This window comes from Homo sapiens, chromosome 2 (assembly GCF_000001405.40).
Source record: "Homo sapiens chromosome 2, GRCh38.p14 Primary Assembly".
NCBI lineage: Eukaryota > Metazoa > Chordata > Mammalia > Primates > Hominidae > Homo > Homo sapiens.
Genome location: NC_000002.12, coordinates 18388961 through 18404709, shown reverse-complemented (window position 1 = coordinate 18404709; position 15749 = coordinate 18388961). Strand labels below are relative to the sequence as shown.

Genomic DNA, 15749 nt, shown 5'->3' with positions numbered 1-15749 from the left:
CACTTTAAAGAGGTTTCTTTAGGTCCTCTGCATATCATGGAAGCCAACTACTCTATTAACGCTTTCCCAATGATGCAGCCCAGTTCTGCATACAGTTTGTACAGAAATGCTATATTTATGGAAACAGCTGAAAAATGAAATATCGATATACCCCTAACAGTCATTTCTACAAAGGTGCTTTGTCAGTTCATTTGGGGCTTGCCATGATTGTGGTGTATTTCTTCTACTGTAATGATAAAATGTTCAAAAGGATCATCAGATAGAGAACTCTGTACGTGCTCTATATGAAAAGATGTTCCCTTAAAGATGCTGTTCTTAATGTGCAGTGTGAAATGCTTGCAGCTTTTATGATGTCTTAGATGGGAAACATGTTTTACTGCATACCAGAGTAGCAGACGTCAACTCACTCTTCAAATTGAGAACAGCTTTTCATTTTGTTCTGTTCAACAATTTCTGGGTCCTAATTCAACCCTTCCCTCCCTCCATCCTACCTCCCACTACCATGAATTTGTACTAGCAAAACAATGTCACAAGCTGCTGCTTCTAACAGCAAGGACAATATGTGCGAGGTGACAGGAGGAAGATTTTGGAGACAGGAATCTACCATGCTCTCTCTCCTTTTATATACTAAGAATAAAAAAGGGGAACTGGAAGGTGAAATATTTATTACCTCAACATTGCTGATTGAACGCAATCCACAGGAAACCCAGATGTCCAGAGAAGTAGATCAGAGAGGGAATATCATGGGCCTGTAGAGCCAAATTTTGATTTCTAGCCTCCTGTGTAAGTAAAAAAAAAAAAAAAAAATGACCATCTGTGAGGTTATTAAAACCCGATATGGGAGCATCTCTCACAATCCTCTTCCAAGTGCTACTTCCTTATTTTCTGATGACTAGTAAAACAAGTTTATTCCTTATAAACTTTACATATCACTGAAAGTTTCAATTTGATTTATATAAAATTTTGACATATTAGAATAAATTGGTGACTTTGTACTTCTTAGAGAAAAAAATTCAGATCTCATTTCATTTTGTAATTGAACACAAACTTTGAACCAAATACTATTAATATATCTTAAACACAAAGTTGATGGAGACTAAACATGGTATAACACAGACATTCTCTTTATAAATGTTCTCTGCTGGTGAAAGAGACTTTTGGTTTTGTTTTCAAAGAGAAGAGAGCCCACACTCTAAATGTAATCCTCAAAATTAGGAGGCCTGAGTTCTAATCCCAATCCCAAATCTGGATGAGTCTGTAACTTTCTGTACCCCATGCAATTCCACAAATGCAAAATAGGAAAGATATATTAAGTTTGCTCCAAAGAGCCATTACAAGCAGAGGTGAAGTAATTGGTGTGAATGTACATTGGTTTCCTCAAAGAATGGTGAAGAAATGCAAGACAATGAAAATTTTTTTTTGCAACAATGGATAATTATTTTCCTTCAGCTTTTTTAGATAGCCAAGTTTAAAGTCAGTGATGCCCATTTAAGAAGCAAAATCACAGAAACATTCAGGAAAATTTGGAATCAATTTATTTAAAGACATGTTCTCTGCAGCTGTTGTTCATTAGGATACTTTTATTGACGTGTCCAGAAATCTTTCCTAGTAGTTTAGGCATGTGGGGGCTTTGAGCCCTATGAAGTATAGCAAATTGCAGATGAATTGGTCCAGAAGTGTAGGTTTGCTTTAAAAAAAATGCTTTGTAAAATAGAATATTCTCAAGGGAGCGATTGGTTTGGGGGAGGGAAGTATGTACTGACACTTAAAAGATCCTTGACCTTCTGGAATGCACATCTAAACTTCTGCAACAGTAGCCCAAAAGGACTGAAACTCAGTGTCCAAAACCACTTTTAACAAAGCCAGGTTTCTCCAAGGATCCCAAACCAAACGATCCAGGGATAATTAGTTTATAATAAGGCAATATTTTTTTAAGAGACCTGTATTTTTTTTTTTTGAGCAGGCTTTGTTTTGGTGTAACACAAATTTTTCAGGTCTCAAGAAGTACAGGAGTTTGCCAGGTGAACTTGGAAAAAGGTGGAGAAGGGAAAAGAGGAATTTATTAGATGGACTAGCATATTCAAAGACATGGAGGCTCTGAATACAGAGCTATTTTGGAAGAACTATAATCATTAATTAATTTATTTATTTGTTCACTTATTCTTTATTCTTCACGCATATACTGAGCTCCTACTACATGCTGGGTACCACACCAGGTAACTGATACAATACATAACTGGCATCAAGCAATTGTGAATACAGTGGAAGAGATGGACATACAAATAATTTGAATATAGTGGGTTAAGATTTAGATGGAGAAAAGAATTAGTCCTTTTCTCAGTGGTGGAGAAAAGAGAAAGGAGAGGGGGAAAGGGGTGGTATCAGCAAGAAAAGACTTCCCAGGAAAATGTGGCACCTGAACTGTGTCCTGAAGAACAAAGAAAATGTAGCTATGTGGAAATTGGAAGGAAAGAGTCTTCCAGGTAGAGGATCAATATAAGGAAATGACCCAAAGCTAGAGAAAATTGGTGGGATGCAAAAATTACAAGTAGTCCTGGTTGGAGGTTTTAGTATGTGGGAAGGGGTGATGGTGGGGGCAATAGATGAGAGAAAAGGTGTGAAGATAAAGTAAATAGAAGAGACAGATGGGAAGGGGTGAAATCCCATACAGGGCCTTGAATGTCATAATCAGTTAAAGAATTTGGGTTTGAAATTGTATTGGAAGGCCTTTGGCAGGGGAGTATGTTGATTGAATTAGCTTTCAGGAAAGTCTCTCCCTAAAGGGTGGGGTAAGAACATCAGTGGGGAAGACCAGGGAAGGTTAGTGCTGAGCCTCTACATATGGGCTACAAAGTTAGAAGAAAGTTAGTGAGGCCCAAGCATCCATAGGACTTAGAGCTTTGCAGTATTTTCCTCTGGCCACTCCCACTGACTCTCCCTGAAGGCTCTGTCCACCATTCCTGGAGCTCATTATGATTATAGCACACGTCTGCCTGTTCATTTAAGTTGAACTATTTGAAAGGAGCAACTGTGTTGTAGTGGCTGCTTTGTTTCTGGGGCTTAGAGTCTTCAAGAGTAATTAGCGATAGGAGAAGTGGAAGTCACGGGAGGAATAGAGGTAGGCTGTGCACATAATAGGTGTTTGGAAATGCCTGCTGAAGTGAACTGATAACTCTCACGGGCATTCTCACTTGATAATGAGGCTTCAGAAAAGCAGGGACCTTGAAAAGAGACAAGATCTGGCTGTTATCTGATCCTGCTGAAGTGAAGGTAACATCTTCCTTTTTGGATTGTGACTGGATAATTAGATGTAATATATGAAAACGACAAGGCAGGTTTTTAGAACCTGAATACATTGTTGATTTTATTTGTAAATAAACAATGAGAAGAGATGATCAATCCCTTTCATCTCCCAGTTTCTGAAATAGGCTCTCCTCGACTCTCTACCTCTAGTAGCCCTGCTCTCCCATCTACTTCTCCACAGCTAATGACTTGTTTCCTGATTTACTAAAATATGAAAGTTATTACAGCAGAACTCATTTATCTTCCCACAACCCAAACCACCCAACCTCCTATATCAGTGCCCATACTCCCTGTCTTCATCCCGTCACCTGGGATGAAGTGTGCTTGTCTCTGTCTGAGGGCAACACCCTGACTTGTGCACTGGATCTCATCTCCATTGACTACTTGACAGTCCTGTAATTAATCTTTTTCCTGCACCATCAACTTTTCTTTCTCTACAGCATCATTTCCATCATCCTAGAATCACACTATAATATCTCCATCTTCAAAAACAAACAAAAAAAACTGTCTTTTGTCTTCAAATCCCCATGGGGCTAACACCTCATATCTGCTGTCATTCTTGAACGATTTTCTTAACTTCTTTCTCCTCATTCCTTCTCACCTCACTTTCTGTCCTTCATCTCTTCTAACTGGGATCCTGTCTTGCCATACCACTGAAGCTGCGGTTTTCAATCATCAATGCCCTCTGAGCTGTCAAATCCAACAGCTTCTTTAGTTTTTGCCTTGACCTCTCAGAAGCATTCAGAATAAATAAATTTTTGAAACTCTTTTTTCTGTTCTTACTTTCGTAAAGCCACTCTTTGCTGATTTTGCCCCCACCCCATACCTTGCTCCTTGTCAGTGACCTTTGCTGAATTATTCTCCTCCACCAAATCTTTAAATGAAAGAATACCCAATGCTAACTGACTGGTTCTCTTCTCTATTTGAGTTTTGGTGATTATATAGAGCCTATAGTCGCATATAAATTCTAGGTAATCTCATCCAGTCAACAGTTTGCAAAACTATCCCTTTGCTGATGGCTTCTACACTTATCTCTCCAGCAATGAAATCTCTCAATTGCCTACTTGACTTTTGTACTTAGAGGTGTAATGGGTATCTCAAAATTTGCAAGTTAAAAAAGAAAGAACTCTTTATTCATTCTCTTAAACCCAGTCCTTATTATCTCAGTAAATGACTCCTCCATATCTAATTGGTATCCTTGACCATTCTTTTACTCATCTGTGCAAACATTCCATGAGCAGGTTCCATATTTGTTCATTACTTTCTCCATCCAAAGATGCCATTCTAATTCATGTCCCTCCATCTCTCTCCTGGACCACTGTAATAACCTCTTAAATAGCATCCCCATCTACTTCCACTTCCTCATAATCCATACTCCATACAATTCCAAGAGTGATATTTTCAAAACTTAAATAAGCGATGTCTGTCCCAACCGTAAAGTTCTTTAGAGACATTTGATAGCACTTAGGATCAATCTCGTACCCTGGTGTAAATATCCTACTTCATCTGGCCCTGGACCAACTTCTTTCCTCCTTTAGGACTACTTGTAACCTTACCTCATACTCTAAGTCTCTTTCATTTCATGAAACACACAAAGCTCAGTGTTCCTCGTGGTTTTTCTGCATGCCTGGACCTTGACAGGGCTACCTCTTAGCCAAATGTCACTCAAAGACAGCCCATTGTGTTGATCACACCATCCTCTAACAGCTCTCTACATGGCAGCCTCATGTTATTTGCCCGTATTTACATTTATCTGACCACCCAACTCTCACCTAGGTTTTTTGTCCATCTTTTTACAACTATGTATCTTCAACACATAGAACAGTTCTGAGCACATAGTGGGGACTCAGAAATAAGTATTGAATGAGCCAACTGACCTTCTTTTTGGGCTAGAATGGACCTCTGAGATCAACTCAGCCCCGTAACCTCATTTTACAGATGAGGAAACTGAGGCCTAAAGAGGAATAGTTGTTTACTCAGAATCATTTGTTGGCAGTATGAAGGCTCTTTCCAGTTGATGCCATTAGAATCCTCTTTATTTGAAATAATACCAGAGCCCTGCATGTAAAACAACAATACACACAAACCCTATTCCATTTTCTGTGAAAGTGCCTCATGGGACAGGTCAGGTCTACATCCTGGTCTCAGCAATGAACTCTGATGGGAGGCATGTCTCCTAATAGGTAATCTCTAAAATTCCAAAAAGGCCTAAACAATAAAAAGCTAGGCTTCTGGAAGCCCTGGGCAACCATAGGTCTCAAAATGGGTAGATTCCACATTTATGTCAAGAGAGGACAAATGCTGAACTTTGTCAGAGTGATCGAAAACACATGTGTTGTCTTGCTTCATGTCCCAGGGAAGTTGGCTAAGACTTAGCTTTTAGTTTCCATTTCTTCCACCTTAAAAGACCAAACATGTGCACCCTGGCTGCATCCCAGACATTTGAGCAATATAAGGCTGGAGAGTTAGGGTCAAAAAGAAAAGCCTTGAATGTCAAAAGAAGGTGTTTGGCATTTTGAATTTCTTTTCTGTGAAGTCAGCAATCTGCCATTTAAAATTTAAAGCAGAAGAGATGTGACCAGGTCTATATTTCAACAGGATTATTCTGCCTATATTTGTGGAGGATGGATTGGAGGAAGATAAGATTGACAATGAGGGGGCCAACTAGAAAGTAGTTATTCTGATCTAAGCAAGAGATAAGAGGGAGTGAAGGGAGAAATGGCATTAGAAATAGAGGTAAGTGGACAGATTTGAGGTATAACCATACTCAGTACATCTGATTAATAGGACTTGATAATTTTTCCTTGTTTCCAGATGCAGCCATGAGTTAATTTCAGGCCAGTGAAAAGAAAGCGGAAACAATGTGTACAACTTTCAAATCATCTTCTCAAGGATTTCTATCCTGGGTTCTCTAGCCCTTTCTACTATCTAAAATTTTGTAGCAGCTAAGGCAATCTTAGAAGCCACATTTACAGAATGGCAATGCCTCCTTTTTATTTTCAAGTTTTTACATGAAAAGGAAACATCCTTCTCTTTTATTTAAATCCCTGTAGTTTTAGATTTTCTAATAACTTTTTCTTGAAACTTTGTGTTCCCTGTCTGTATTCTAACTTATCCTCTCATCCATTCCAACCCAGGCACAGGAGAAAGAGCATCTGCAAATCCTGAAGGGACAGTAGTAAGAGGGGTTCCTGCGAGGACTTTAAAGAGCCACTAAACACAGGAACCAGCAATTAAAGGCACTCCATGAAAACCTTGTTTTATAATTTCTTCAAGGAAAGTTGGAGAGGATGTTGTGAATTTTTGAAAGCTTAATAACATTCATATCCTTTGCTACACTTGTATTATTTAAGCCCAAATAATAAACCAGAGGTGTACACAAAGAGTACATAAAAGGGCATTTATTGCACTCTTATTTTTATTAGCAAAAAATCCCTGAAATCAACATATACACCTAACAACGTGCAATGACATGATTAAATAAATGTGATATATTTTTAAAGTGCGATACTCAGCACTCATTAGAATCATAATTCAGAAGAATACACAAGACTGTATTAGTCCATTCTCACATTGCTATAAGGAACTACCTGAGACTGCATAATTTATAAAGAAAAGAGGTTTAATTGACTCACAGTTACACAGGCTGTACCGGAAGCATGGCTGGGGGGCCTCAGGAAACTTACAATCATGGCAGAAGGTGAAGAGGAAGCAGACATGTCCTACATGGCTGGAGAAGGAGGAAGAGGGTGAAGAGGAAGGTGTTACACACTTTTAAACTACCAGGTCTCATGAGAACTCTCTCATTATCATGAGAACGCCCTGCAGGGTAGGGCTTTTAGCCAGAGCCTCTAGGAATCAATGTAATGGTACAATCACCACATTAAATAAATAAACCATCATTAACCATGATTCTCAGGGGATGGTTTGCATTCTGGAAAATTAATTTACTTTCTTCATTCACTCAGTAGATGTGTATGGAATGCCAGCTATATACCAGGCATGTTATAAGTGAGACAGAACAGTGATAAAAATGGCCAAAACCTCTGCCCTCATGGAGCTCACATTCTTGGAGTCTGGAGCAGACAATAGAAAGGTGAACACATAAAATATTCAGAATATAAGAAAGTGATAAGTGCTATGGAGAAAAATGGAGGAAGGCAGATCAGGAAGGGAACTAAGAAATGCCATGTTGAGAGGCAGGAGTTAGGAGTATAGGAGGGCTGTGTTATTTAAATAGCACAGTCACAGAAGGCCTCACTGATAAGGTGATAATTTACACAGAGATCTGGAAGAGGCAATTCTTATTGGCGCCTCAGTTTAAAAACAAAAGTCTTTTAGAAGTCCAGGTGTTATAGAAAACAAGGTATTACTTATATGATACTAATTTTCAATTTCACTAGTTTGCTGGGGACTGTATGCATTCTCTGATAGTTTCCCCATCTTCGCATAAATGTTTGGACTAGATGATGTCTGAGGACACTTCTGGCTCTTAAAGTTTCCGGTTTAAGCACAGGGGTGGAGATGGGGGATCATTCTGTGTTCCAACTATTAGACTCATACATTCATCCAACAAACATTAACCGAGAGCCAAATGTGTGCTGGGCTTGTAGACAGTACCGTTAACAAGGTTAGGAAGCTGATTCCACCTTCCAGAAGCTCCCAGTGGAATGAGGCAAACATGTTCATTGTGACTTGGAGGCTGTGCCTGCATTTCTCTGCTGCTGGCTGAGAAGCAAAGACTCTCTGCCCTCCGCTCCTCCAGCCATTCTGCACACTCATCCTAGGGAAGCCCAGGACCATCCATCACCCAGAGGCTAGGGCTGGGCACCACAGCCTCCCCAGGGCCCAGCCTCTCCCTTCAAGAGAAATGTTTCCTGGACGGGGGAACTGTCTCCGAGGCTGATGATGATGATGGATGGGCCAAGGAAAGCATTTTTCATCCTCAAGCAGCACACGTGTGCATTTTCACTCTGGGGCCAGGCTCTGGCTGGGATGCCTGCAGTTCCACGTTTTCTTAGCTGTTGTCACCTTCCCTCTTTCCTGACAAATGGACCCATTTCACAGCCTTAGTGACTCATGACTGCTTTAGGAAGTCTAGATTAACCTAGTGTGGCATAGGAGGAAAATGAAGACAATTATTTTTAACTTGACATCTTAAACCTCCATCTTCATCTTACCATGCCCCTGTGAAAAAATCTACAATGATTCTTTCTTGTGCTTGGGCTATGATCTAATATTCACTTCCATCTGGCTTAGACAATTCCAGCCTTCTCTCCCACTACTAAATTGTGCAGGCAGAACTCTATCTCCCAAACATGCCATGGATTTTTCTACGTTCACACCATATTCAAATGGTTTACTCCTACCAACCCCTTGCCCAACTATGAGACCTTCTCTGGGAAGCTGTCTCTGACTGCCCCAGGCCACTGTGATGTGTCCTTTGAGGGGTTACCCTGCACCAGCTGCACAAAGCCTGGGGTGCAGAGTGCTTTTTTTCAAAGATGAAAGTCTTAAATTGTCTGTGACTTCTGGGTCAGAGGAACCGTATCCTATCCATCCCCTCCCGGCCAACCGCACCAGGCCGGGTGCCCAGCACATGGAAGTTGTTGTATAAAATCTCATTAGCTGATTGATTCTTTCAGTGGTTCTCTCTAATTCCATCAGCAAGCTGGCAGAGGACCAGGTTTCATAGTTTAAGCCTTGATCAGCCTAAGATGAGACTATGTTTTACCAGCCCCAAGAACGTGATATAGGAACACCTGTGTCTGAACTCCTAGTTCAATGCTGATCAATAACTCCCTGAGTCAGGCATTTCTGATGCACAAAGAGCAACTTTCTAAACCAAAAACATCTCAGATTACTGGCTTTGCCACCAATTCTATTTTGCCTGTATAGATCTTCCTTAAATAATAGAGGCGTCTTTTTTTATGTCTGTAACTCTGCAAGCATTGTTTAAAAAACTCTACTTATAAGTATATAATTTAAAAAAGTTAAAGAATTTTCAGCATTTCTTCACAACAGCGGCTTTCAAACTCCAGGGTGAATCTGAATCACCTGGGGACTTGTTAAAGCACTGGTGTGCACCCGCCACTCCAGTTTTGGACTCAGTATTTCTGAGATGGGGCCTGATAATTTGTATTTCTAAAGAGTCTCAAGGCAATGAGGATGCTGCTGCTTACACGTTGAAAATCACTGCCCTATCCTAACACTTTTACTTCAAAATTTTTTTCCCAAGCACTTGTCTGCATGTTATTTTCCATAGTTATTATCCTAGTATATGAAATTTGTGCATTTTAATTTTTTTCTGAATTATAAAGAGTCTTCCCCCTGTCACCAAATAAAAGGACCTGTTGGAGTTTGGGGATAAGATGTCCCAAGAGGCACAATAAGAATTACTTAACTCTTCTACAAGGTGGAGCATTATTAAGAAAAATTTTTTTTTAACTTTTAGTTCAGGGAGGGGTACATGTGCAGGTTTTGTTATATAGGTAAACTTGTGTAATGGAGGTTTGATGTACAGATTATTTTGTCACCCAAACACTAAGCCTAGTATCTAATAGTTATTTTTTTTCTTCTCCTTTCTCTCCTCCCACCCTTCATCTTCTGGTAGGCACCAGTGTCTGTTGTTCCCCTCTATGTGTCCATGTGTCCTCATCATTTAGCTCCCACTTATGACAACATGCCGTATTTGGTTTTCTGTTCCTGCATTAGTTTGCTAAGAATAACGGCCTCTAGTTCCATCCACGTTTCTGCAAAGACATGATTTCATTCTTTTTTATGACTGCATCGTATTCCATAGTGTACATGAACCATGCTTGCTTTATCCAATCTGTCATTGATGGGCATTTAGGTTGATCCCATATCTTTGCTATTGTGAATAGTGCTGCAATGAACATATGCATGCATGCATCTTTATAGTAGAATGTTTTATATTATCTGGGTATATACCCAGTAATAAGAATGCTGAGTTGAATGGTAGTTCTGTTTTTAGCTCTTTAAGGAATCAAAACACTGCTTTCCAGAATGGTTGAACTAATTTGCAATTCCACCAACATTGTGTAAGTGTTCTGTTTTCTTCACAGCCTCTCCAGCTTGTTATTTTTTGACTTTTTCATAATAATCATTCTGACTGATGTGAGATGATATCTCATTGTGGTTTTGATTTGTATTTCTCTAACCATCAGTGATGTTGAGCTTTTATTCATATGATTTTTGGCCACATATATGTCTTCTTTTGAGAAGTGTCTGTTCATGTCCTTTGCCCACTTTTTGATGGGGTTGTTATTTCCCTTGTAAATTTGTTTAATTTCCTTATAGATACTGGATACTAGACCTTTGTCAGATGCATAGTTTGTGAAAATTTTCTCCCATTCTGTAGGTTTTCTGTTTACTCTTTTGTTAGCTTCTTTTGCTGTGCAGAAACTCTTTAGTTTAATTAGATCTCCATTTGTCAATTTTTGCTTTTGTTGCAATTGCTTTTGGCATCTTTGCCATGAAATCTTTGCTAGGTCCTATGTCTAGAATGATATTGCCTAGTCTTCCAGGGTTTTTGTAGCTTTTGGTTTTACGTTTAAGTCTTTAATCCTTCTTGAGTTGATGTTGTATATGGTGTAAGGAAGAGGTCCAGTTTCAATCTTCTGCACATGGCTAGCCAGTTAACCCAGCACCATTTATTCAATAGGGAGTCCTTTCCCCATTGCTTGTTTTTGTCAGTTTCATATAAGATCAGATTGGTGTAGTTGTGTGGCTTTATTTTTGGGATCTCTATTCTGTTCCATTGGTTTATGTGTTTGTTTTTGTACCAGTACCATGCTGCTTTGGTTACTGTAGCCCTGTAGTATAGTTTGAAATTGGGTAGCATAATGCCTCCTGCTTTGTTATTTTTGCTTAGGATTGCCTGGGTTATTTGGGCTCTTTTTTGTTTCATATGAATTTTGAAGTAGCTTTTTTCTAATTCTGTGAAGAATATCACTGGTAGTTTGATAGGAATAGCATCGAATCTATAAGTTGCTTTGGGCAGTATGGCCATTTTAACGATATTGATTCGTCCCATCTATAAGCATGGAATGTTTTTCCATTTGTGTTTGTATCATCTCTGATTTCTTTGAGCAGTGGTTTATAATTCTCATTGTAAAGATCTTTCACGGCCGGGCGCGGTGGCTCACGCCTGTAATCCCAGCACTTTGGGAGGCCGAGGCGGGCGGATCACGAGGTCAGGAGATCGAGACCATCCTGGGTAACACAGTGAAACCCCGTCTCTACTAAAAATACAAAAAATGGGGGCCTGTAGTCCCAGCTACTCGGGAGGCTGAGGCAGGAGAATGGCGTGAACCCGGGAGGCGGAGCTTGCAGTGAGCCGAGATCGCGCCACTGCACTCCAGCCTGGGCGACAGAGCGAGACTCCGTCTCAAAAAAAAAAAAAAAAAAAAGATCTTTCACCTCCCTAGTTAGCTGTATTCCTAGGTATTTTGTTCTTTTTGTGGCAATTGTGAATGGGTTTGTGTTCCTAATTTGGCTCTCAGCTTGGCAGTTGTTGGTATATAGGAACGGTGGTGACTTTTGTATGTTGATTTTGTATCCTGAAACCTTGCTGAAGTTGCTTCTCCGCTTAAGGAGCTTTGGGGCTGTGGCTATAGTATTTTCTAGATACAGAATCATGTTATCTGCAAACAGAGACAGTTTGACTTCCTCTGTTCCTATTTGGATGCATTTTATTTCTTTCCCTATCCTGATTGATCTGGCCAGGATTTCCAATACTATGTGGAATAGGAGTGGTAAGAGATGGCATCCTTGTCTTGTGCTGATTTTCAAGGGGAATGTTTCCAGCTTTTGCCCATTCCGTATGGTGTTGGCTGTGGATTTGTCATAAATAGTTCTTATTATTTTGAGGTTTGTTCCTTCAACACTAGTTTGTTGAGAGTTTTTAACATGAAGAGATTGAATTTTATCGAAATCCTTTTTTGTATCTATTGAGATGATCATGTGGATTTTGTCTTTAGTTCTGTTATGTGATGAATCACGTTTATTGATCTGCATAGGAAGAAGATATTTAGCCCAAAATGATTCAGTCAGGAAATCAAGTTGATCTGGTGTTAAAATTGTCCAGTTTTTTTCCAATGGTATATCTCCAGCTCCTGGAAAAGTGGCTGTCACCAGAAGGTATTCATTAAATATTTTTTGACTAAATTAATGAATTAAACAAACATTTTCTTCATATACTCTAGGTAACTTAGAGGTCTCTAGGAGGGGTGTTAAGTGTAGCAATTGGGGCTGGTTCCTGCAGCACTTGATGAATACTTTGCTTCAAAACAAGCCACTTCACAAAGAAGAATCATTAACAAGCTGCAGTTGGTTTTCATGTACTGCAAAGGATTTTTGTCTGTGATGGGTAAGCAAGAGGCCCATGTTCAACTCTCTCCTTTTCATAGTTATATAAGCAACCTGTGTCCACAGAGATGCTCTCTGTGGTTTATGTGTTCACTCATACTCTGTTACACATGGTTTCTTATTTTAAGTTAGAAACACTTGTGTGCATAGATCAGCTCAAAATCAGAAATTAAATGCAACATGGGAAGCACTGGTGGGGACCCAGCTTCCAAACATGTATTACATGAAAATAGTAAGACTTTTCTTTAATGTCAATTTAATTAAAGCAAATAAATTATGCAATGTTATTGGCTTATTCCACTGCCCTTTTACCAAAACAGAGTTCTCTGTGCACATAGTTTTTTTTTAACATTTAATCAATAAACCACAGTGATCTGAGCATCTGGCTCCCTTAATAAGGGGATTGTGGAAACCCTGGGCAGTAAATTAGATTTAAGAAAATTTCTAAAATGAGAGAAAATTACATTATAAATATGACATTAACATTCCAAGGCACCAGAACCTCCTTGAGACTGCAGAGTCCCTGAGCTAGGTAGGGATCTATACAGAGCACAGCAAATACTTAGATCACTCTTAAGATGTGGACGGTCAAACCTGTCAGGAATAGTAGCTTCATGCCAAATCTGCAGGAGCCCTTTCCCTTCTTGACCACTGGGCAGCTTCTTTGACAAACACCTTTTAGGGATTCTGAGAACATTTCACCCCCTGCCATCTCTTGGCAAAGAACAGCTGAATGCTAAAGGCATATTTTCTCAAAGTGCTTGTTAATGACTTGACTGTGGAATTACTTGCTGGGCTGCTGCTCTGGAGTGGTCATTACAATATTTCATTCTTCTTGCTTAATTTCAGGCTGTGCTTCCTCCATACATAAATACATCAAGCTATATAAAAACCAGAACTTTTATCTGCATACAGGGGTTTAGAGAGTTCGTTTCTCCTGCTCTGTAGGACAAGAAAAATCATTGTTTCCCGCTTTGATTTAGAGATTTGATTTATGCAGGTTTGCCTTTCAAGCTTCTGTTTCAGATGTGCTAACTCTCAGGTTTGTGTGCATTTGCTTGGATTTACTGACATGAGTTTAATTCCTGATTTACAACCTGCAGGCTTCAGATGAAGAATGAATTTTGATTTAGGGTAACACATTCTATATGGCTTCTATTTTCTACTCAGATTCAACTATTAGTTGGTTTTAGCACAAACTGAGTTATGGCTTTTCCTAAAAGGCCCTTTTTTGATTAAATTAAGATGGATTGAAAACCAAATCTTTCCCATATAACTACATGAAATAAAGTCCCTTCCTACAAGTCTGACTGACATGAAGTGGGGCCTCCAGAGAGAAGCTCCCCTGCTTCTGCACAGTTCTGCTGATTCGTGGCTGAGTATTGAAATCTTCTGGTTCTTCTCTCATGATCATAGGTTTGTTTCTTCATTTATCCATTTTCAAAACTCTTTGCAAAGATCTTTTACAGTCGTGTGTCACAGGATAAGCAGAAAAAGTTCTACGCCTTGTAATGTGTTGATGAACATCCAGTGTCCTGAATCACCCCAAACACACAAGACAAGTAAAACAACAACAACAAAAGAAACCCAGCAACACATGTAAGTCTTAATGTGCATATAATTTAGTATATTCTTCTATTTGGATCTTTGAGATATGCTCCTTAAAAGTTGGAAAGCTCTTGATGTATAATTAATAAAAGTGGTCTTTTCTCCAGTCTCACTTGGGTAACAGTTTCTTGAACTGATCAACCTTCAATCTGCCAAGGATCTCCATTTGCCTCAAAGATATTTATAACCATTATAGCAAAAATGTGAAGTGAAAGGAAAAGGTAACTTCTGATTCTATCTCAAAACTATAATTTAATGGCAAACCCCATCTTTAACATGGCCTGGGTGACTTAAATATAGAGTTTTTTGTTTGTTTTGTTTTGTTTTTTGTTTTTGTTGTTTTTAAGACAGGGTCTCACTTTGTCATGCGGGCAGTAGTGCAGTGGCCCAATCTTGGCTCATTGCAACCTCCGCCTCTGGGTTCAAGCAATTGTCCTGCCTCAGCCTCCCGAGTAGCTGGGGCTACAGGTGCATGCAACCACATCTGGTTAGTTTTGTATTTTTAGTAGAGACAGGGTTTCACTGTGTTGGCCACGCTGGTCTCAAACGCCTGATCCTCAAGTGATCTGCCCACCTTGGCCTCCCAAAGTGCTGGGATTATAGGTGTGAGCCACCGCATCCAACCAATGTAGGGTTTTACATAAGGAAGACTAATTGGCCTGGAAGAGGAAGAGGTGAGAACCTGCCCTTTGTGGCGATTATTGGGCAAAAAAGGGAGAAAGGAGAGCAGAGTGATCAAGCACTGGATGTTCTGAAGAAGGAACACAGACATATCAAGAAAGGGCTGGTGTGCCAGCAAAGGTATGGGATCAGAGCAAAGGCCAGGGTCAGGCCTTTGAGGCTTGAGCCAAGCAGTGTGGACCCAGACTCCAGCCGAGCAACTACTTTACAATCAGGAAGAGCAGAGGGTCGATATCACACCTCACAGATACCCTGCTCCCATAGCCATCAACACAAAATCACAAAGACACAGCCCTCTGCCATAAACTCAGCTACCAGCTTGGAGAAAAACAGAGGAAGAAAGAAAACACCCAAAAGCTGAGAGTTTATTTGGATTATTGACCAGAAAGAGAGTTATTTGAAGAGGCAGCTTTAATTATGCAAATGAACAGAATTGACCAGAGAGGGGCATATACAAAAGATGAAATCAGTTATCAAAGAACAGTAGATATATATTTTATTTGAATTTATTTATTTATTTACAACTCCAAATATGTTTGCAGCTTGTTATGATTATTGAAATGCACTAATCATTGTATCTGTGTATTAAATGACTTATTAAAATTACCTAGGGCTGGTGCAGCTTGTTTTGATTATTGAAATGCACTAATCATTGTATCTGTGTATTAAATGACTTATTAAAATTACCTAGGGCTGGTACAGCTTGCTGCAGATCCTCAGGAATATTTTAATATATTGATTGGTGTATCTATTATTTATGTAATGCA

At 39.5% G+C, this 15749-nt stretch overlaps 1 long non-coding RNA gene across 1 annotated transcript in view; it reads right to left on the bottom strand.

Annotated features, from left to right (window-relative positions):
• Positions 1 to 15749, bottom strand: part of LOC105373454 (uncharacterized) — a 148852-nt gene that overhangs the window by 130683 nt on the left and 2420 nt on the right. Inside the window, exons 3-4 of the long non-coding RNA XR_001739302.1 lie at positions 6939 to 7033; positions 671 to 779 (exon numbers count right to left, since the gene is read on the bottom strand). This is a non-coding gene — a long non-coding RNA (uncharacterized LOC105373454). The remainder of the gene's footprint in view (positions 1 to 670; positions 780 to 6938; positions 7034 to 15749) is intronic.